Source organism: Homo sapiens, chromosome 10 (assembly GCF_000001405.40).
Source record: "Homo sapiens chromosome 10, GRCh38.p14 Primary Assembly".
Classification (NCBI taxonomy): domain Eukaryota; kingdom Metazoa; phylum Chordata; class Mammalia; order Primates; family Hominidae; genus Homo; species Homo sapiens.
The window spans coordinates 15,089,973-15,111,300 of record NC_000010.11 but is presented as its reverse complement, the minus strand read 5'-3'; the positions used below and the strand labels follow the sequence as shown (position 1 = coordinate 15,111,300).

The 21,328-nt window shown below is 46.0% G+C and overlaps 2 protein-coding genes, 1 long non-coding RNA gene and 1 pseudogene across 19 annotated transcripts in view, besides 5 other annotated features; 3 read left to right on the top strand and 1 right to left on the bottom strand.

Annotated features, from left to right (window-relative positions):
- Window positions 1-5,601, top strand: part of NMT2 (N-myristoyltransferase 2) — a 62,994-nt gene extending 57,393 nt beyond the window's left edge. For 5 of the 8 annotated variants that reach the window (XM_006717539.5, NM_004808.3, XM_017016951.3 and 2 more), the window contains 2 exons: window positions 1,462-1,599; window positions 2,086-5,531. In XM_006717539.5, coding sequence (XP_006717602.1) covers window positions 1,462-1,599; window positions 2,086-2,106 — 159 coding nt within the window. In that variant the 3' untranslated portion in view covers window positions 2,107-5,531. Of the gene's footprint in view, window positions 1-1,461; window positions 1,600-2,085 lie in introns of all 8 variants that reach the window. The other 3 variants (XM_047426019.1, XM_005252642.6, XM_017016949.3) reach the window with 1 other exon arrangement.
- A 1,442-nt stretch (window positions 5,602-7,043) lies between these two features.
- Window positions 7,044-13,946, bottom strand: RPP38 (ribonuclease P/MRP subunit p38). Of its 10 annotated transcripts, none has more exons than XM_017015479.3 (3): window positions 13,168-13,946; window positions 8,965-9,083; window positions 7,044-7,996 (listed from the first exon to the last, which is right to left on the bottom strand). In XM_017015479.3, exon 3 carries the CDS (start codon window positions 7,984-7,986, stop codon window positions 7,135-7,137), a length of 852 nt encoding a protein of 283 aa, XP_016870968.1. In that variant the 5' UTR covers window positions 7,987-7,996; window positions 8,965-9,083; window positions 13,168-13,946; the 3' UTR covers window positions 7,044-7,134. The 10 variants fall into 10 exon arrangements, with proteins under 10 accessions (XP_016870968.1, XP_006717426.1, NP_892117.1 ...); XM_006717363.3 differs by having other exon boundaries at window positions 13,502-13,946; NM_183005.5 differs by having other exon boundaries at window positions 13,535-13,946.
- Window positions 13,239-13,378: an enhancer, noted in NCBI's record as "active region_3091". NCBI's record gives its function as "activates an Ori minimal core promoter by ATAC-STARR-seq in GM12878 lymphoblastoid cells {active_cell/tissue: GM12878}" and the evidence as "EXISTENCE:reporter gene assay evidence [ECO:0000049][PMID:35858748]".
- Window positions 13,439-13,528: an enhancer, noted in NCBI's record as "active region_3090". NCBI's record gives its function as "activates an Ori minimal core promoter by ATAC-STARR-seq in GM12878 lymphoblastoid cells {active_cell/tissue: GM12878}" and the evidence as "EXISTENCE:reporter gene assay evidence [ECO:0000049][PMID:35858748]".
- Window positions 13,669-14,028: a silencer, noted in NCBI's record as "silent region_2168". NCBI's record gives its function as "represses an Ori minimal core promoter by ATAC-STARR-seq in GM12878 lymphoblastoid cells {active_cell/tissue: GM12878}" and the evidence as "EXISTENCE:reporter gene assay evidence [ECO:0000049][PMID:35858748]".
- Window positions 13,669-14,401: a biological region, named in NCBI's record as "H3K27ac hESC enhancer GRCh37_chr10:15138899-15139470".
- Window positions 13,830-14,401: an enhancer, noted in NCBI's record as "H3K27ac hESC enhancer chr10:15138899-15139470 (GRCh37/hg19 assembly coordinates)". NCBI's record gives its function as "activates a minimal SCP1, AML or CMV promoter by ChIP-STARR-seq in naive H9 embryonic stem cells {active_cell/tissue: H9 hESC(naive)}" and the evidence as "EXISTENCE:reporter gene assay evidence [ECO:0000049][PMID:30033119]".
- RPP38-DT (RPP38 divergent transcript) lies at window positions 13,982-15,916 on the top strand. Its single transcript, NR_160789.1, has 2 exons — window positions 13,982-14,214; window positions 14,436-15,916. It is a non-coding gene; the product is annotated as an RPP38 divergent transcript (long non-coding RNA).
- GAPDHP45 (glyceraldehyde 3 phosphate dehydrogenase pseudogene 45) lies at window positions 17,688-18,243 on the top strand (annotated as a pseudogene).

Genomic DNA, 21,328 nt, shown 5'->3' with positions numbered 1-21,328 from the left:
GACCTCAGGTGATCCACCTGCTGCGGCCTCCCAAAGTGCGGGGATTACAGGCGTGAGCCACCACGCCCGGCCTGCATACTATTTAAAGTCTTTACAACTTTGGTCCCTGGGCAATAGCTTCAGCCAAGGTAGGACTTAGAAAGGCTAATAATTAATAATCCTGGAGATGAAACCATCTTGACAACTGTTCCCTTCTAAAACAAGAACGAGGCTGGGTGCAGTGGCTCATGCCTGTAATCCCAGCACTTTGGAAGGCCAAGGCAGGTGGATCACTTGAGGTCGGAGTTCAAGACCAGCCTGGCCAACACGGTGAAACCCGGTCTCTACTAAAAATACAAAGAAATTAGCTGGGCATGGAGGTGCACACCTGTAATGCCAGCTACTAGGAAGTTTGAGGCAGGAGAATTGCTTAAATCTGGGAGGTGGAGGTTGCAGTGAGCCGACATCATGCCACTGTATTCCAGCCTGGATGACAGAGTGAGACTCCATCTCAAAAAAATTTAAAAATAAATAAATAAAACATAAATAAAATATTTTCTGAAATCTTCATAAGTAATTTTATGCCAGTGACAGCCATCATACTACATTTTTAACATTTTTGGGATTCAGCGTTTCTGAATTTTCATGCTGACTTCATTGGATTCACTATAGTTTGTTTGTTTTTTGAGACAGGCGCTCACTCTGTTGCTCAGGTTTAAGTGCACTGGCACAATCACAGCTCACTGCAGCCTCGACCTCTTCGGCTTATGCAATCCTGCCTCAGCCTCCTGTGTAGCTGGGTCCACAGGCACACACCACCATGCCGAGTCAATCTTTTTATTTTTGTAGAGACAATGTCCTGTACCTACACCTACACCTATACCTACAGCCTATGCCCAGGCTGGTTTCAAATTCCTGGGCTCCAGTGAGCCTCCCACCTTGGCCTCCCAAAGTGCTGGGATTACAGGCGTGAGCCACCACATCCAGCCACACTGCTAGTTTTATAAGACAATTTTCAACTGAATTCTTCCTCTTTTTAAAGAAAGAAAAAAAAAAAGTCTCACTCTGTCGCTCAGGCTGGAGTGCCGTGGCACAATCTCGGCTCACTGCCACCTCTACCTCCCAGGCTCAAGCAGTTCTCCTGCCTCAGCCTCCTGAGTAGCTGGGACTGCAGGTGTGCGCCACCACATCTGGCTTATTTTTGTTATTTTTAGTAGAGATGGGGTTTCGCCATGTTGGTCAGGCTGGTCTCGAACTCCTGACCTCAAGTGATCCACCCACCTCAGCCTACCAAAGTGCTGGGATTATAGGCATGAGCCACAGCATCCGGCCCTGAATTCTTAACCTATGCTATATATCACGGACGTTAAATCCTATTAGAAATGCATATTCGAGCTATTAGTAGAATTGTTAAACTGAGATATGTAATACAGAAAACACTAGTCCTTTGTTTTAAATTTTAAATCTTTTTTAAATTGGCAGAAAGGATTTGATGTATTCAATGCACTGGATTTGATGGAAAATAAGACATTCTTGGAAAAACTCAAGTTTGGTATAGGAGATGGCAATTTGCAGTATTACCTGTACAATTGGAGGTGTCCAGGTACAGATTCTGAAAAGGTAAGTGAAATGGATATAGCCCTTGTAAACTCAACAAATGTACCTAGACAATTTCATACTTGCTTCACTTAGACTTAAGACAGCTTTATTTTATTTTTGTTCATTTTATTTATTTATTTATTTATTTTTTTGAGATGAAGTCTCGCTCTGTCCCCCAGGCTGGAGTGCAATGGCATGATCTCAGCTCACTGCAACCTCCGCCTCCCAGGTTCAAGTGATTCTCCTGCCTCAGCCTCCCGAGTAGCTGGGATTACATCCACCACCATGCCTGGCTAATTTTTTCATTTTTAGTAGAGATGGGGTTTGACCATGTTGGCCAGGCTGGTCTCAAACTCCTGACCTCAGGTGATCCGCCTGCCTTGGCCTCCCAAAGTGCCGGGATTACAGGTGTGAGCTGAGCCTTAAGACAGCTTTTAGAAAGACAGATCTATTGTACTACATTGCAATCTAATTTTTCTTACTATTCCATTTCTTCCCTCCCTTCAGGTTGGACTAGTACTACAATAGATGGATATTTTTATTTCTAGAACTCTGACATCATCATTTGTTAATATTTAATGATTTCTGGAACTGCCATTCCAAAGAAGAATAAAAGCACAACTCAAGTGAAATTGAAGTAGTCGATAATCAGAAAAGATGACAAAAGTCCACATGTGACATTTGTACGTTTCTAGCTAGAATGTTAAACTTCATCCTTTTTTTACTGTTGACCTATTTGTGGGAGGGATGAAAGGCTACAAAGAGCACATTCTTGTAATTTTCAAATTTTTGCCTGTCTCTTGAAGAGGTATTTTTTCACCCTTAGAAAAGGGACTGTTTTTCTATGGACTAAGTAGAAGTTACAGAGTCATGTAAGAAAATCTTTGCTATTGTGTGGAGAGAAATTGCTGCATTTCTGTTTCTTAAGTGATGGTACATTTGTCCATGTAACAGAACAAAAGATCCATTTGGAAATTTTTTTTACTGGTATCACCTTACATGGTATCACTGGGAACATTTATGGAATCAACACTTCTGTAGCTCAGTGACAGGTGGTGGTTGTTTAAGTGCAGAGCAATATTAAAATGTACTGGTGACTAGTACATGTATTTCTCCATAAGCAGAGTTGCCGAATCAATAAACATGCAAGTTTGTACTTTGATCTTTACCAGGTCAGTGGATTGCTTCAAAAGCAGAGTTTTGTGCAAGCACTCACTGTGCTCTCTGAAAGAGCCTGAGGCCGGGCGTGGTGGCTCACGCCTGTAATCCCAGCACTTTGGGAGGCCAAGGTGGGCAGATCATGAGGTCAGGAGATCGAGACCATTCTGGCCAACATAGTGAAACCCCATCTCTACTAAAAATACAAAAATTAGCCGGGCGTGGTGGCGTGTGCCTGTAGTCCCAGCTGCTTGGGAGGCTGAGGCAGGAGAATCGCTTGAACCTGAGAGGTGAGGTTGCAGTGAGCCGAGATCGAGCCACTGCACTCCAGCCTGGGTGACAGAGCGTGAGACTCCGTCTCAAAAAAAAAAAAAAAGAAAGAGCCTGTACCCGCGACTAACTAGACTTTTCTGCTGTTGTGCAAAGTTCAGTTTCTTCTCAGCAACATCAAGGATATATGAAGAAAAGGAAATAAAAAACTGTAAAGTCAAAAGAGATGCCTGGTGGAACTTATTCGTGCTATCAGGGCATTGATAGTTTGAATGTTTTTATTACTTATGCAAAATTGCACATACTCCTCTATGCTGATTTTATCATGAAAACTGTCATGTGTCATGCTAATGGAAAATGTCTTATTTGTAAATAAGTATTCATAATTTTGTTACTGATGGTGTTTTTAATCTAGAATTTGAAAAACTTTCATGGCTTACAGATGTGTGTTTATATTGCCAATAATCTGCGGGAAAAATAAGATGCTAACCGAGGCCACGTAGCCTGGCCTCAACTCAGATACCACAAAGTAGATGCCTTGGCTGGGTGTGGTGGCTCACGCCTGTAATCCCAGCACTTTGGGAGGCCAAGGCGGGCGAAACATTTGAGGTCAGGGGTTCGAGACCAGCCTGGCCAACATGGTGAAACCCCATCTCTACTAAAAATTCAAAAAGAACTAGCTGGGTGTGGTGGCGGGTGCCTGTAATCCCAGCTGCTAGGAGGCTGAGGCAGGAGAATCACTTGAACCCAGGAGGCGGAAGTTGCAGTGAGCCAAGATCGTGCCACTGCACTCCAGCCTGGGTGACAGTGCAAGACTCCGTCTCAAAAAACAAAAGTAGATACTTTTCCCTGCTTTTACTGGGCCAGTGCCTAGGAAGTTCAGTGCAGAAGTTAATTGTTTTAGACATGATGGCATTTCCTTCAAGTTATGAGTCCAGTGAAACCAATCATATCTTATCCCAGGCAGGGGCCACCAAACTATGGCCTGTGGGCTAAATCCAGCCCATTGCTTATTTTTGTGTAGCCCACAGGCTAAGAATGTTTTTATTTTCTGGAATGGTTGAGGAGAAAAAGCCAAAAAATGACATCATTTTGTGACATGTGCAAATTACACAAAATTCAAATTCCGGTGTCCCTCAATAAGGTTTTATTGGAACATAGCCATACTTTTTTTTTTTTTTTTTTTAGGACAGGGTCTCACTCTATTGTCCAGGCTAGAATACAGTGGCACAGTCAACAGCTCACTGCAGCCCCAAACTCCTGGGTTAAAATGATCCTCCTGCTTCAGCGTCTTTTTGAAGAAAAAGAACTAGCTGGGCGTGCATACCACCACGCCTGGCTAAGTTTTTCATTTTTTGTAGAGACAAGGTCTTGCTATGTTTCCCGTGCTGGTCTTTAACTCCTGGCCTCAAGTGATCCTTCTGCCTTGGCCTCCCAAAGTACTGGGATTATAGACATGAGCCACCACTCTTGGCCACAGCCACTTTCATTTACATATTGCCTATGGCTGCTTCACACTACAAAGCTGAGTTGAGTTGTTGTGACAGATTGTGTGGCCTGCAAAGCCTAAGATATTCACTCTCTGGTCTTTTACAGAAAGTTTGTTGACCTTGGTCACTACGAAGGAGTTGGAACTCTCCTTTCTATAGGTTGCCGTGATTCTAAAGACCAACCCACAGCTGTGACATCCCTGAGACTACCACCAGAGGGCGACTGGGCCCCACAGTAGTACATAATATAGGACCTCTCTTGGAGATAATGGAAGACTTGGAATTTCAGATGGTTCCACCCTAATTGCATTAGCGTTCTTTCTTAACAGGAGAAAGGCTTCAAGAAACAAAACAGTCCTCATTCACTGGAACAGGGTTTGAGATACCAGCATTAAGTAAATGAGATTTTGACTTAACCTGGAGTCAAGGCTCTAATTTAGGACTTTACTTCCCACTCATTTTCATGCCACAAAGTCTATACAAAGTAGGTTTTCAAATAATTGCAGAATCAGCCAGGCACGGTGGCTCACACCTGTAATCCCTGCACTTTGGGAGGCCAAGGTGAGCAGATCACTTGAGGTCAGGAGTCTTGAGACCAGCCTGGCCAACATGGTGAAGCCCTATCTCTACTAAAATTACAAAAACTAGCCGGACATGGGGGTGTGCACCTGTAATCCCAGCTATTCAGGAGGCTGAGGCAGGAGAATCGCTTGAACCCAGGAGGCGGGGTTGCAGTGAGCCGGGATCACACCACTGCACTCCAGCCTGGGCAACAGAGTGAGACTCTATCTCGAAAGTAAAATAAATAACTGCAGCATTGCCAGTTGGAAACTTTGTCATGAGCTTACCTCACGGTGACAGTTACACTGCTCCTTTAAAGAGTCATTTACATAATTTGTTATCAAATTATTAACCACTTTTAAATAGAATAATAACTACATTTGCCTCCATAATTGAAGCAGATTACTAATTAACATTTTCGAGAATTAAACTGCTTGCTTATGAAGTAGCTATTAAAACTAAATTGAAATGCAATGGATAGTTTCTTGTAGATTTAAAACTGCATTGTACTGTACTTTGTCTATAATGAAAATGTTCTATTCAATAAGGTATCTTTTTTTCTTCTTTTTGGCCAAGATGGCACTAAGTAAAATTTAAATCGAGAGATGGCATAATCCATGAGTCAGCCAGACTTTCAGCTGGAAAAATCTTTAGTAAATACCTTCCTTCTAAATTACAGAAAGTAACTTTTCCATACACACTGTAAACAGCAGACACTCTAACAGAGCATCGGTTATGCTCCATCTCCTAACCTGAAGGACTCTTGTCACACACCCACCTCTGAGAACCCAAGCTCCTCAGTTTTTTTAATCTTTTGGCCACATTTCATCCAATTACCATCATACCTTTTATACGTTAGATTTCCAAGGAGGTAAGTGAATCACGTAATGGGGGTGAACTGTACCCAGTCAAAATAACCTTATCTGACTTTTTCTATATTTTTGATATTTTTTCTCTAAATATTAAGTCTTTCTCCCAAGCTCATGTCTATTCCTTCCTAAAAGTCAAATTGACATGAAGTGAAAAATGATGTGTTGCTTCTGAAGACAATGGATTGCTTGGCATTTGGGATCTTTCCTTTAAAACTGATAATGCTTCCCCAATTCAGTTCCATCTACCTGACTGACTAGAACATTTACTGTGGTACATTTTCCAGGTTTGATAGGAAAATGCTAAGCGTTGTATGACACAGATATTCTTGCTCACAGGCACTCTACCAGCCTTTGAAAAAGTCAATTTAGGCTGGACGCGGCTGCTCACGTCTGTCATCTCAGCACTTTGGGAGGACAAGGCAGGTGGATCACGAGGTCAGTTCGAGACCAGCCTGACCAACATGGTGAAACCCCATCTCTACTAAAAATACAAAAAAATGAGCTGGGTGTGGTGGTGGGCACCTGCAATCCCAGCTACTCAGGCGGCTGAGACAGGAGAATCGTTGAATCTGGGTGGTGGAGGGTGCAGTGAGCCGAGATTGCGCCGCTGCACTCCTGCCTTGGCGACAGAACGAAACTCTGTCTCAAAAAAAAAAAAAAAAAGGCCAGGCACGGTGGCTCGCAGCTGTAATCCTAGCACTTTGGGAGGCTGACGTGGGCAAATCACGAGGTCAAGAGACGGAAACCATCCTGGCCAACATGGTAAAACCCCGTGTCTACTAAAAATACAAAACTTAGCTAGGCATGGTGGTGCGCACCTGTAGTCCCAGATACTTGGGAAGCTGAGGCAGGAGAATTGCTTGAACCCGTGAGGAGGAGGTTGCAGTGAGCTGAGACCGCACCATTGCACTCCAGCCTGGACAACAAGAGTGAAACTGTCTCAAAAAAAAAAAAAAGAAAAAGAAAAAGTCAATTTACACACGCATGAACACTAGTTTCAATAAATGTCTGTTTGGCTATTCCTAATTTTGAATATTTCCTGCACTTAGTATATCTGTGCCATAGTTACAAAGAGTCTTACACATTTGAATATTACCAAACAGGACCCTATGAATCTATGTAAGTATAACTCATTTTATTAGTTTCAAGGCTTCTTTACAAGGTGTCCTTTCACAAACTGTATGACATGACAAGTTTATGCAAGATTACTTTGGAGTAGCTTTTTTACTTTTGGGTGGTTTCCTTATCTTATTAGGGTTTGGAATCAGTTTCTTTATTTTAAGGGGTTGTAATGTTACAGAAGCCTGCCGACCGTCAGCAAGCTTTCTCTTAGGTTTTGACAGATCTTCAAATGAAGTGTCCAAAAGCTCTCTGTCTTGGCTTTCCAGAGGTTCAGTCTCTAAATTTTCCCCAGAATCTTCAATTCTGTCTTGAAGCCATGGTACACTTAAACTGGGGACTCTGGGGATGATGGCTCTTACTTCGTCCACAAAGTCAGTGGTGTTCTTTTTGAACGCCAAGGCTAGAACACATTTTAAGCCAATGACGGGGGCGATTCTCTCACTGAGCCGGGGGACCTGACAGGCAGGGACACTTCTGCTTAGGCTTAACTGAATCAAGTGTGAGGTGATCATGGCAGGCTTGACTGATTTACACACCAGAACTAACAGCAGTTCCCTCCTTTCCAGGGCTCTGGTAACTTCGTTAACGCCAATGGCAAGCTGCTTCCTGACGTGTGCAGGCGTCCACCCTGACACTTGCTGCTTAGCATCTGTTTTCTTCTCCTTCAGATTCTCACTAATATCAACAGCAATGCTGCATTTCTCTCTGCTTTCTTTTTTCAGAAAAGGTGTTTTGTTCTTTTTCTTCTTATCTTCAATCTTCTGAAGTCCAATAGCTTTAAGCCTGTCCTCAAGCGTCTGTAGGATGAAGTGCATATCCTCGCTCTCCAGAGCGCTCCAGCGGATGATGTATGGGTTGTTCAACGACGTCTTCACAACCAGAGGTCTCGTCTTACGGAGAGATCCCCGCCCCGGTGCTTGAGGAGCTGCAGCCATTTTGAAAATCCTTCCAAGAAGCAAAATGACAACAGAAAAAATTCATGTTAGCGACAACTGCATGACTTAAGAATATCTTGACTGTACTCTCTGATTCTTATTTATTTATGTATTTATTTTTTGAGACAGAATTTCACTCTTGTTGCCCAGGCTGGAGTGCAGTGGCACAATCTCAGCTCACTGCAACCTCCACCTCCTGGGTTCAAGCGATTCTCCTGCCTCAGCCTCCCGAGTAGCTGGGATTACAGGCGCCCGCCACCAAGCCCAGCTAATGTTTCTATTTTTTTTTAGTAGAGACAGGGTTTCACCATGTTGCCCAGGCTGGTCTCAAACTCCTGACCTCAGGTGATCCACCCACCTCGGCCTCCCAAAGTGCTGGGATTACAGGCATGAGCCACTGCGCCCGGCCTGTACTCTGATTCTGGATAAGCTAGAGCAAGCCTGATTATATAAGTCCAATTAGGTGAGCATACGCTTGTCTTCCTTTTAAAGATTAAGTAATTTTATTTTTCCCCATTTTTCTTACCCGATTTTGAATGCTCTACGAAGGCTCTTTAAAATACTCAGGACTATGGGTGAGTAGTGTTTAATTTTCCCCATTTTTTTATATGACTTTGTCTTTATTCCTATACAAGCAATATGTGAAAGTTTTAATTATTGCAATCATAGTACAATTCCATTTGTCTATTTCATTTATTAAAAATATTCTGTTTCTACTTGTTCATAATTAACCTTCTAGTGACTGTATGGTATTAATCTTCTAACTTGTTACTGTTTTCCAAAATGCTATCTAGTTGGGCTTCCATGCATTCACTCAACAAATATTCTAGGCCTGGCACACTGGCTCATGCCTTCAGTCTCAGAATTTCGGGAGGCTGTGGTGGACAGATCACTTCAGCCCATGAGTTCGAGACCACTCTGAGCAAATGGAGAAACCCTCTACAAAAAATACATAAATTAGCTAAGTGTGAGGCGTACCTGTAGTCCCAGCTACTTGGGAGGCTGAGGTGGGAAGATCACTTGAGCCCAGGAGGTCAAGGATGCAGTGAGCGTGATTGTGCCACCACACTCCAGCCCAGTAACACATCTGACCCTGTCTGCAAAAAAAAAAAAAAAAAAATGATCTGAGCACCTCCAGTATGCAAGTGGTGTTCTAGGTCCTGGGGCTCACAGTAAGCAAGACCCGATGTCCACCCACGTAGAGCTCCCAATCTGCAAATACTCTGGTGGCCTCTGCCATTCACAACCAATCAGGTGTGATATTTTAAAGAACTGAACAGTCATCTCATGATTAAAACTTCAAATAACACTGTCACGTCCACTTTTGTAAGTCTCCCCACCTCCCAGGGCCCTAAATTTCTTGAATATCCTTCCTACAGCATTTGATACATATGCAGGCATACACTCCCTTTTTTTTGTTTTTTGAGACGGAGTTTTGCTCTTGTTGCCTAGGCTGGAGTGCAATGGCATGATCTCAGCTTATTGCAACCTCTGCCTCCCAGATTCAAGCGATTCTCCTGCCACAGCCTCCGGAGTAGCTGGGATTATAGGTGCCCAACACCACGCCTGGCTAATTTTTGTATTTTTAGTAGAGATGGGGTTCACCATGTTGGCCAGGCGGGTCTCGAACTCCTGACCTCAGGTGATTCACCCACCTCAGCTTCCCAGAGTGCTGGGATTACAGGAACGAGCCACCACTCCCGGCCAGTCCTCCTTTTTAGGGGGACCCCGAGCTGACTTCTCTGGCTGGCAATTCCATGAAGACTAGGGAAATGTAATGAAATTTAAAGATACTAATCCATTGAGGAAAAATGAGTAGAAGGATGCTTAATGGGGAAAATGTTATAAACTATTGGTCCAGAGGGCATATCCTTTTATCCTTCCCAGAGGCAACTACACACTCCCTTCTCTTCCCTCAGTTTTCTTCCCTTCCTTCCTGGGGCTCAGCTAGAATCACAGGGACCCACCTGGCAAAACTAAAGGAAGTTATATCCTTTGCATTTATACTACCACTTACTAGGCTGGCAGCTGATGTTGAAGGCAAGTGTGTCTGTGCAGTGTATCGCTGTATAAAGCACTCTCTCCATGTATTATTTGCTTCTTACAGCATTCCTATAGAATCCCCCAATGTGTGCATTAGGAAACTGACTCACTGCCTAAAGTCACAACTAGTTTTCCAAATCCAAGTTTTCTGTTCTTTCAATCCTTGCTACACCTCAAAAATAACCTGTGGCTTCTTAAAACATGCAGATGCTTGGTCCTCAACCCAGATCTACTGAATTGGAATCTTCAATAATAAGGCCTGGGCATCTGTGCTTATAAAAAGCTGCCCCAGGCCGGGTGCAGTGGCTCACGCCAGTAACCAAAGCACATTGGGAGCCCAAGGCGGGCGGATCATAAGGTCAGGAGTTCGAGACCAGCCTGGCCAATATGGCGAAATCCCGTCTCTACTAAAAAATACAAAAAAATTAGCCAGGCATGGTGGTGCCTGCCTGTAATCCCAGCTACTTGGAGGCTGAGGCAGGAGAATCTCTTGAATCCAGGAGACGGAGGTTGTAGTGAGTCAAGATCGCGCCACTGCATTCTAGCCTGGGCGACAGCAAGACTCCATATCAAAAAAAAAAAAAAAGTTGCCCTCGTGAATCTGATTCAGAGCCGGAATCAGGAACCACTGGTGTAGGACAGGGTGTTTCCACACTGGACAGCCCCGAGAAAGGGCCCCCTGAGCGCTATTGGTCTCTGATATTCTTCCCAGACACTTTCCCACAGAAAAGCCAAATTCAGCTCCTTAGGGTGAGAGATCACACCCTGGTCATCTCGGTACAGCAATCCTGGAGACTTCTGGGGCCTAAGCTGCTTCCTTCACGGTGGCCACACTGTGTCCCCTGACCCCATTATCTCTATGCTCCCCTAGAGCTCAGGAAATCAGGAAGAAAAGTGGCTCATCCAGATGCAATGCAGTGACTGTGAGGGGCTGGCATCAGGTTCAAAGTGGTCAGGAAGAGGGAAATAAGTGACAGGGGGTGAAACAAATAGGATGGGGCAGAGCTCTTGCCAACTGCAAGTCAGATGATGTCTCCACATCCAAACACCACAGAATAAATACTTAAAATCATGCTCCAGAGGGATCACAAAACAGGCTATAAACTTGTCCCACCTGCAGAATCTGCTGGGGCGATAAAGAGAGCCAAGTAGTCTGGATAAGCATAATCTCACGCAATATAATCCAGAAACAAAGTACTGACTGATAAGATTTTATAGCTTTAGAGAAAGAGAGAAAAATAGGCTTTGCTGAGGGCCCTTTAGAGCTGTCTCAAGAGGCCTCTGCTGCCTGTAGATCAAGGGCAAACTCTTTTTACTAGACAGTCTTGCCCTGTCACCTGGCAGTAGTGCAGTCGTTCGATCATGGCTCACTGCAGCCTTGAACTTCTGGGTTCAAGCAATCCTCCCACCTCAGCCTCATGCTGAATAGCTGGGATTATAGGCGCATACCACCAAGCCCAGAAAATTTTTTTAATTTTTAAATTTTCTGTATAGGCTGGGCACGGTGGCTCACACCTGTAATCCCAGCACTTTGGGAGGACAAGCTGGACAGATCACTTGAGGTCAGGAGTTCGAGACCAGCCTGGCAAATATGGTGAAACCCAGTCTCTACTAAAAATACAAAAATTAGCCAGGAGTGCTGGTGCACACCTGTAATCCCAGCTACTTAGGTGGGTGGCTGAGGTAGGGGAATTGCTTGAACCCAGAAGGCGGAGGCTGCAATGAGCCGTAATTGCACCACTGTGCTCCAGCCTGGGCAATGGAGTAAGACTCCGTCTTAAAAAAAAAAAAAAAAGAAATTCTATAGAGACAAGGTCTTGCTTTGTTGCCTGGGCTGGTCTTCAACTCCTAGGCTCAGGCAATCCCGTAGCCTCGGCCTCCCCAAAAGTACTGGGATTGAGGGCATGAGCTACCATGCCCCGCCTAAACTCTAATGTGACATAAAAGGCCCTCCACACTCCAGCTCAATCTCCCACTTAGGCCCTCTTTCTCCTTAGGCCCCACCAAGCACAAGTCCTCAACACCGAACAACATACTATTTAATGAGGCCAGCATTTTCCCACCTGCAAGTCTTTATACACATTAGTCCCTCTGCCTGGAATACCACTCCCACCCTCAGCCGCAGGCCCCTTCCTTTCTTCAACAAATATTTATCGATTATCCACGATGTGCCAGGCCATAAAGATTAAGTATTTTTTCTCACAGACCTCATGAGCTTAGAGTCCACGAGGAAAAAATATTAGCAAGTAATTATACAATAAAGCCTGATGCACATGAAGGTCAGGGAACAGTATGCTTAGGGAACATCCAGCAGAGGCCTAGCTTAGTTGAGGGGGGTGGGAAAAGGCAGTCCTCACAGAGGAACTTTTTTTTTTTTTTTTTTTTTTGAGACGGAGTCTCATTCTGTCGCCAGGCTGAAGTGCAGTGGCACAATCTCGGCTCACTGCATCCTCCGCCTCCAGGGTTCAAGCGATTCTCCTGCCTCAGACTCCCGAGTAGCTGGGACTACAGGCACGGGCCATCACGCCCGGCTAATTCTTGTATTTTTAGTAGAGACGGGGTTTCACCATGTTGGCCAGGATGGTCTCGATCTCCTGACTTTGTGATCCGCCCGCCTCGGCCTCCCAAAGTGCTGGGACTACAGGCGTGAGCCACCGCGCCGGGCCGGACCTCTTAACCTACATCTAAACAATGCCTACCAAAGGAAGTATGGAGTAAAGAAAGGTATCTCAGTATTAAAAGAAATAAGTTGGCTGGCGAGGTGGCTCACGCCTGTAATCCCAGCACTTTGGGAAGCCCAGGCGGGCGGATCACTTGAGGTCAGTAGATCGAGACTAGCCTGACCAACGTGGTGACCCGTCTCTACTAAAAATACGAAAATTAGCCGGGCGTGGTGGCAGGCGCCTGTAGTCCCAGCTACTCGGGAGGCTGAGGCAGGAGAATCGCTTGAACCCGGCAGGCGGAGGTTGCAGTGAGCCGGAATCGCGCCACTGCACTCCAGCCTGGGCGACTGCTATGTCTCAAAAAAAAAAAAAAAAAAAAAAACACGTTCAAATAAGTTCAATGTGGCTGGGGCAGAGATGCTAGAGAAAGCGGTGAGAAACTAGGAAAGGTGGGTAAGGACCAGATAATGAAGACCTTTGCAAGCGTTCCAGTGTGAAGCAACTTTAACATCTAAAGCAGAGGTGTCGTGATTAGAAAGACGTTATAGATCTTTGTGGATCTGGGCAAAGGAAGAGTCCCCGAGCAGCAAAGACGCTCCTGGAGTCGTCCAGGTTAGAAATGACGGTGGCCTGCACTAGAGACGCCGCAGAAAGGACTGGAGAAAAATACATGTTAGTCGGAAAAGAAGGTAGAATCTCCCGACACAGTAGTGACCAGCTGGAAGTAAAGTTGAGAACGGTATTGGTGGTGACTCCCGGTTTCTGGATCCCGCCGGTAGCCGAGGGGCGACGGCCGACCCAAAGCTCACCTCCCCACTGCACGCCGCCCCTGGATCGAGTACCTTGGTGCTTTACTATTTAGCACACGGAAGTGTTGTTCTGTTGTCCGTGTCTCCTTGGAGACCGTGGAGAACAGAAGGGCCGGCGGGGGTTTTCGCTTTGTACTCCTGGTGCCCAGCCGGCGCTGCAATCCAGCAGAGGAGCCGGACTAGAAACGCGGAAGCTCTGGGTGCACGCGCCCGGCCCGGGACTGGGCGGCCCAACCGGGAGGGCGGCGGGTCCTGCGGCCACGCAACAGGCGTTGGGGAAGCAGCAGAGACCCTGCGTGCGCGCGGGCTTCGGCCTCCAGATTCCGCAGAGTCCCGGGCCCGATCCCCCCGGGGCTGGCCTCCTGCCCTACGTGGGCCCCGCGCGCCCACCTGGAACTCACGATGGCGAATCCGTGGTCACCTGAAGGCAACAGCACCGGCGCCCAGTGCGCCTGCGCCGCGCGTGCGCAGAGCCCTCGCCTCCCGGCCTCGCCTCGCAGACGCGACGGGCCGGGGAGGAAGCGCTCGGAGCAGTGCAGGTTTCGTTATCCTGTGTTAGGTCACTCCGGAGAGGGGAAAGCGGCCCACAGCGTCGCGCGACCCGGAAACGACACAACGAGGCCCAATCTTTTAGACTCGAGTTTAGGCCCCGGGGTGGAGTCTCCGGACCGGGTCCCCCCACCCCCGCTACAGGGGCAGTGCGCAGGCGCGAGGTATGTATCGCGAGACCATGCGGTTGCCCGGGTAACCAGACGCTCAGGACTTGGACCGTCCAGTTGTTCGGAGGCCAGCCTATAGCCAATGGTATCCCGAGGGCTCGCTCTCTCCGGGCGTTTGTGCTCCCCTCTCTCTTCTAACCCAGTTTCTACCTTTCAGTGCTTTGGAATCTTAGCCCTCTGTCTCTATTCGCTTTTCTGTATTTGCCTTGCCTCAGGGACGCACAACCCCAGCCCCTGTCCCAGTGAGCCCGTCGCCATGGAATCCCTGCAGACTCCCCAGCACCGCGAAAATCAAGATAAAAGGGAGAAGGAGTATGGGGTAAAACACATGCCTATGGGCAATAATGCAGGGAATCTTGAGCCCGAAAAGAGAAAGGCAGTAAGAGTTGCCTTGAGTTCAGCAACAGCTGCACAGAATATCCCGTCCAGTGTCCACTGTGGCTGCTCCAAGCAATGGAGACTCAGGCTACCATCGGAGTCGCTGCAAAGTCGGGGACAAGTGATGAAGCGGCCGAATAACATTTTAAAGCTCAGGAATCTGGATCTGTTGATCTACCCTTGGCCAGAACTTAGAAGACGGCAGGTTGCTTCTGACCTAATGAGCCTCCTCCTTCTCCCCGCTTTTTCCGGCCTTACTTGGGCCCCCTTCCTTTTCCTCTTTACGTATCTGCCTCCTTTTCTCAATCTCCTCACTGTTGGTTTTGTATCCTATTTTCTGGTATAGTTTCTGTGATTTCTTTCTTTTATTTATTATTATTATTGTTGTTGAGACAGAGTTTTGCCCTTGTTGCCCAGGCTGGAGTGCAATGGCGCGAACCTGGCTCACTCCAGCCAGCGCCTCACAGGTTCAGGTGATTCTCCTGCCTCAGCCTCCGGAGTAGCTGGGGTTACAGGCACGGGCCACCAGCCCAGCTAATTTTTGTATTTTTAGTACAGACGGTGTTTCACCATGTTAGTCAGGCTGGTCTCGAACTCCTGACCTCAGGTGATCCGCCCACCTCGGCCTTCCAAAGTGCTGGGATTACAGGCATGAGCTACTGTGCCCAGCCTCTATGATTTCAATTTTCATGTTTAAGTACCTATGTAGAACCTAACTGTCCATAAGTAAACACAACAAAAAAAAGATTTGGCTTTTGGTCAAAGATCATTGGAGGTTACACAGGGTAAAGTGCAGTATGATTTTTATCACAATTAGAAAGATTAAAAAGAGATGACAGTGAGTTTGTGAGAACAGGTTTGTGTTTCATAAAATGAATTGTGTGAGTTAGCTATGATGAACTGCAAGCAGCTTGCATTTCCAAAGACAAATAGAGACACAGGAATCTAATTAAAATGCTAAAGTAATGGGAAGGAGACATCCATACGTTTTTGTCCCCCTAAGGTTCCAGATTTATAGTTTGAGCATCATCTCGGCTTACATTTTCTCTGTGGAAAACATCAGCCATTACATTACTTGGCTCTGGGTTGAAATCCTAACTTCATCAACTGAAGATCTTATGACCTAGGCAAGTTTATTAACCTCCTCTATGACGTGATAAAAATAGTATCTCTTGTGCGGATTAGAAGACATGTTCCTCTATGCTAAGATGATTATTATGTGCGGAACACATAGTTAAGTGCTTGATAAATTGAACTATGGCAAATCCAGTCTCAACCGTGGCAAAACTAAGTTAATAAAAATGAAACATAACCTTTATTATTTTAGTGCTTGTGTTTTATTTTAAAACTAGCAGTATAATTTCCACGAGGATTTTGCTAAAATTAACAAGTACATTTCGAAAGTAATTTCTGTCCCTCTTGTATCACACAAACATTACAACCAAAAAGTAAAAAACATTCTCCCATGACCCAATCACACCCATTTTTTTCTTTAGTGTTCCCTTCTACTTTGTTTCACATATGTGCATGCTTTTACATTAAACTAATACAGATTAAGTCTTCTGATTTTCTTTACACATAACGCTTTTTCATGTTTCTCAAATTATTACTTTACATATTTGATATCCTATTCTGAAGAAACGGTTTTTTTTTTTTGGAGACAGGGTCTTGCTCTGTTGCCCAGGCTAAAGTGCAGTGGCACCATCTCAGCTCACTGCAACCTCCTCCCAAGCTCAAGTGATCCTCCCACCTCAGCCTCCTGAGTAGCTGGGACTACAGGAGCATGCCACCATGCCTGGCTAATTTTTGTACTTTTTGTAGAGACGGGGTCTTGCCATGTTGCTCAGGCTGGTCTCAAACTCCTGGGCTCAAGTAATGCTCCTACCTTGGCCTCCCAGAGTGCTGGGATTACAGATGTGCACCACCACACCTGCCAGTTTTACTTTTTAATGACAGTTGTTTTATCCTGTAAAATCTGTTTGGTCTTTGTATATTAGAGCTTTCTTTTTATATTAATTCTAGAATTGGACTACTGTTTGATTTGTATGCTTTCCATTATTTGACAATGACTTAAGATTCTGAGTGATGGCCGGCTGTGGTGGCTCACACCTGTAATCCCAGCACTTTGGGAGGCTGAGGCAGGAGGATTGCTTGAGCCCGGGAGTTCAAGACCAGCCTAGGCAACATGACGAAACCCCGTCTCTACAGAAAAAAAAAAAAAAAAAATTAGCTGGGCATGGTGGTGTGTGCCTGTAGTCCCAGCCACTCCTGAGGCTGAGGCAGGAGGATTGCTTGAGCATAGAAGGTGGAGGCTACAGTGAGCTATGATCACACCACTGCACTCTAGCCTGGGCAACAGAGTGAGACCCTGTCTCCAAAACAAATAAATAAAAAGATTCTGAGTAATAAATTAGATCATTAGCCACAATCCTTTGATGAAATAAGTGAAGGTCCCAACAAGAAAATTTGTCAATAGAAGAATGTAAGGGAATTGACCACCAGATTCTTCTTTTCCTCCATGGTATTCTGACCTTAGCTGTGTGTGTGTGTTTGTGTGTGTGTGTGTGTGTGTGTGTGTGTGTGTGTTATGTAACAGTAGTTGTTATGTAAACAATTCATTATTTTAAATCAGTTACTAAGAATAAACTTTAATGATGAGATGCAAAATGAATACTGAAAGCTTTACTAATTGGAACGGTATAGTACTCCAAAGAATATCTGTGTCCATAGAGACAAGTGAAGGTGAGGAGTTTCAAGCAGTTGAGCAATTCGCAGGTCTCACAAAACAGCAAAATCAAGACCAACATGATGTCAGCTCCCTGCATCTCTAATCCCATGGGACAGCATTCCCAATCTCAGAGGTCAGATGACAGGTCTTATGAGTGGTGGGTCACTCTGTCGAGGAACAAACTAAACTTCAGCAAGCAGTTCTACAGATTTACACAGAAGCCTGCGGCTCCATCCTAAAGTGGAGCAGGTTGTAGGGGGTGCGGAGAAAGAAGGGGAAGATGGAAAGCCCTAGTCTCAACTAAACTAGGGACATGGATGAGAAACAGCCTTGTGAGACTCTCCCACAAGATAGGGAAGCCCTGTGGGCAAGGTCATCCCTGAGCTGAATGGGAACCTCCCTGGCATGGCCTTTTGTGTCCCCACTGCCAACGTGTCAGTTGTGGGCCTGAACTGCCATCTGGAAAAACCTGCCAAATAGGATGACATCAGGAAGGTGGTGAAGCAGGCTTCAGAGGGCTCTTCAAGGGCATCCCGGGCTACACCGAGCACCAGGTCATCTCCTCCAACTTCAACAGTGACACCCACTCTTTCACCTTCGATGCTGGAGCTGGCATTGCCCTCGACGACCACTTTGTCAAGCACATTTCCTGATATGACAGTGAGTTTGGCTACAGCAACAGGGTGGCGGAGCCCACATGGCCTCCAAGGAGTAAGACCCCCGGACCACCAGCCCCAGTGAGAGCACGAGAGGACGAGAGAGGCTCTCACTGCTGCGGAGTCCCTGCCCCACTCAGCCCCCGCCCCCACTGAGAATCTCCCCTCCTCACAGTTTCCACGCAGACGCCCTGAAGAGGGAGACACCATGGGAGCCTCACCTTGTCGTGTACCATCAATAAAGTTTCCTGCACTCAATCAAAAAAAAAAAAAAAAAAAAAAGGGAAGCCTTGCCTTGCTCCCAGGGAAATCACAGGCATTCGGCGAGGACTCAGGGTAGACCGCAGTCAGGCCTTGGCTCTGTGGCTATGTGGAGATGTCCAAGGTTGTCAGGGGTCTCAGCAGTGCTGTTTTATGAAAACGGGGAAATTTGAAAGACATTTAATCCTTCCTTTTTATCCCCCTCCTCCCTTTCTTCCCCCCCCCCCCGCCTTTTCCTACAGGTACAATATTCATTGAATTTTAAGTGTTGGGGATAAAGTGGTGAGCCAGAGTTCTAAAGGAGGAGAAACGGTAAACAAAGTAAACGATTTAAGTTGTCAGATGATTCAAAGTGCTACAGAAAAAAAGCAGGGAAGGCCAGGCGCGGTGGCTCATGCCTGTAATCCCAGCACTTTGGGAGGCCAAGGTGGGCAGATCACTTGAGGTCAGGAGTTCAAGACCAGCCTCGCCAACATGGTGAAACCTCGTCTCTACTAAAAATACAAAAATTAGTTGGGCATGGTGGCGCACACCTGTAATTCCAGCTACTCGGGAGGCTGAGGTAGGAGAATCACTTGAACCTGGGAGGCAGAAGTTGCAGTGAGTCCAGATCATGCCACTGCACCCCAGCCTGGGTGATAGAGTGAGACTGTATCTCAGAAAAAAACAAAAGCAACACGAAAAAGCAGGTAAGAGTGGAAGGGGGTGCTAGGATGGGTGATAAAAGGCCTCCTGAGATGACAGATGAGCAAAGACCTAGAGGAGTGGAAGCACTGAGCCAGGCCGACCCTGGGAAGATAATTCTGAGGTAGAGACGGGAGAGCAGCAGTGCGACAGGCCTGTTAGAACAGCCGGGAGGCCAAGTGGAGCGGAAGCCCTTTGAAGGCAGGTAAGAATGAGAACAGAAGAAAGACGGAGAGAGATGGCCAGAGGCTCATAGACGAGAAGACCAGGCTAAAGCTATTTCTTGTCTCAAAGTCTTCCTGGAGGTGTTGCCATGTCGGCTAAGTCTTGAAGGAGGAGTTGGCTGTTAAGAAAGTGGGAAAAGGAGCCAGGTATGGTGGCTCGCGCCTGTAGTCCCAGCACTTTGGGAGGCCAAGGCGGGTGGATCACTTGAGGTCAGGAGTTTGAAACCAGCCTGGCCAACATGGCGAAACCCCATCTCTACTAAAAATACAAAAATTAGCTGGGCATGGTGGCATACGCCTGTAATCCCAGCTACTAGGGAGGCTGAGGCAGGAGAACCACTTGAATCCGGGAGGTGGAGGTTCCAGTGAGCTGAGATGTCACCACTGCACTCCAGCCTGGGTGATAGATTGAGACTCCGTCTCAAAAACAAGAAAGAGAGAGAGAAGAAAGAGAAAGAGAAAAGAAAAAATCAAAGAGAGAAAGAGAGAGGGAGGGAGGGAAAAGAAAAGGAAAAGAAAATAAAAAGAAAAGAAGGAAAAGGGTGTGCCAGACAGTGGAGTGGCAACTATCTACCAACGTGGAGAAAGGGAACTTGAAGTCCTTCAGTTACCTGGGGTAGAGCATCCATGCCTGTGGGAAATAGCGAGAGATGTGGTTGAAGAGGTCAGCAGGACCTGGTCCATCCCGGAGGACCACATGTACTGTTCAGCCAAGGAGAGCTAAATTGTCATTGCAGAGAAGAGAGCAAAACCATGGATGCACCATTCGTGAGGCTTGGGTCCAACCCTACAGCCATTACATCAAAATGGTGGTGGGAATTAGGGATCAGACTGGGGTTTGTATCTTTTTTTCCCCAGGTAATTGAATGCACTGCCAGGGTTAAGAAATGTTCATCGTGACAGTACTAAAGATTCAATGCAATCCCTATCAGAATCCCAAAGGATTTTTTTTATAGAAAAAGAAAAACCTATTCTGAAACTCATGCTATGGTTTTTATTTTATTTTATTTTATTTTATCTTATTTATTTTTGAGACAGAGTCTCACTCTGTTGCCCAGGCTGGAGTGCAGTGGCAAGATCTTGGCGCACTGCAGCCTCCGGCTCCCAGGTTCAAGCAATTCTCCTTGCCTCAGCCTCTCAAGTAGCTGGGATTACAGGTGCCCACCAGCATGCCTAGCTAATTTTTGTATTTTTAGAAGAAGGGTTTTTGCCATGTTGGCCAGGCTGGTCTTGAACTCCTGACCTCAAGTGATCTGCCCACCTCGGCCTCCCAAAGTGCTGGGATTACAGGCGTGAGCCACCGCGCCTGGCCCCTTCTTGCATCTCAAGACAAGACACACATGGCTAGGCAATGAGATGGGGAATGGCAACCCAGGAGAAGAAAATACTTTCAAAAGAGGTCTTAAAAGAACATTCTGGATTTAGAGAAAAAAGCAGAGAACAATGTAGCGTCCATCCCTCTCCTCTTCTGGATTCTTACAGTGACGATAATTCCAGAATGTCTCAGCTGAAGATATGGACTGATACCTGAACTCAGTGCAGTATTTCCTGCTGAAACACCACAGACCGGGTTCTGCCCGCAGCCAGGACTAGGCTAACAGAGAAAGGCCTGGCTGTGCTGAAGCTGCCATGAGCCTCAGTACCCCCACGGGACCTTTCCCATCATCTAGGACTTCAAACACAAACAACTGCCCAGTAGGTTTTTCTAACATTTTGCTTTTGGTCCTTCACTTGGAAATGCACTGATTTCACCAGGAAAATATTTGTGAGGAGAAAAAAAAAGATTTTCATGAAAACGCAAATATTTTAAAAATGTAGCTTTATGCAAAAGCAAGCTGAAAGGTTTCTTGTTGCATTGTTGTACGTTGAAGCTCAGTCACTTTGCTGACATTGAGTTTCTTTTTTCTCCCAGTCACCCTTCTCCACCAATGCTACTATTTATGCGAAGTGTCGGAAATTAGCTTCTCATGTGACCACCCAATTCGGTTCCAGTCCTTTGGAAATGTAATCCTATTCGGTGTGTCTGCAGACTTGGAGTGACATTGGGTTTGTTCCCCTAGAAAACTGAGTCAAATTGAATAGGCGTTTAGTCCTGTGCCTTTACCATAATTAAAAACAAGTTAAGCTGATTATAGCATGTGTCCAGAATTTAGGTGGTTTTGCTTTATAAAGAGAAG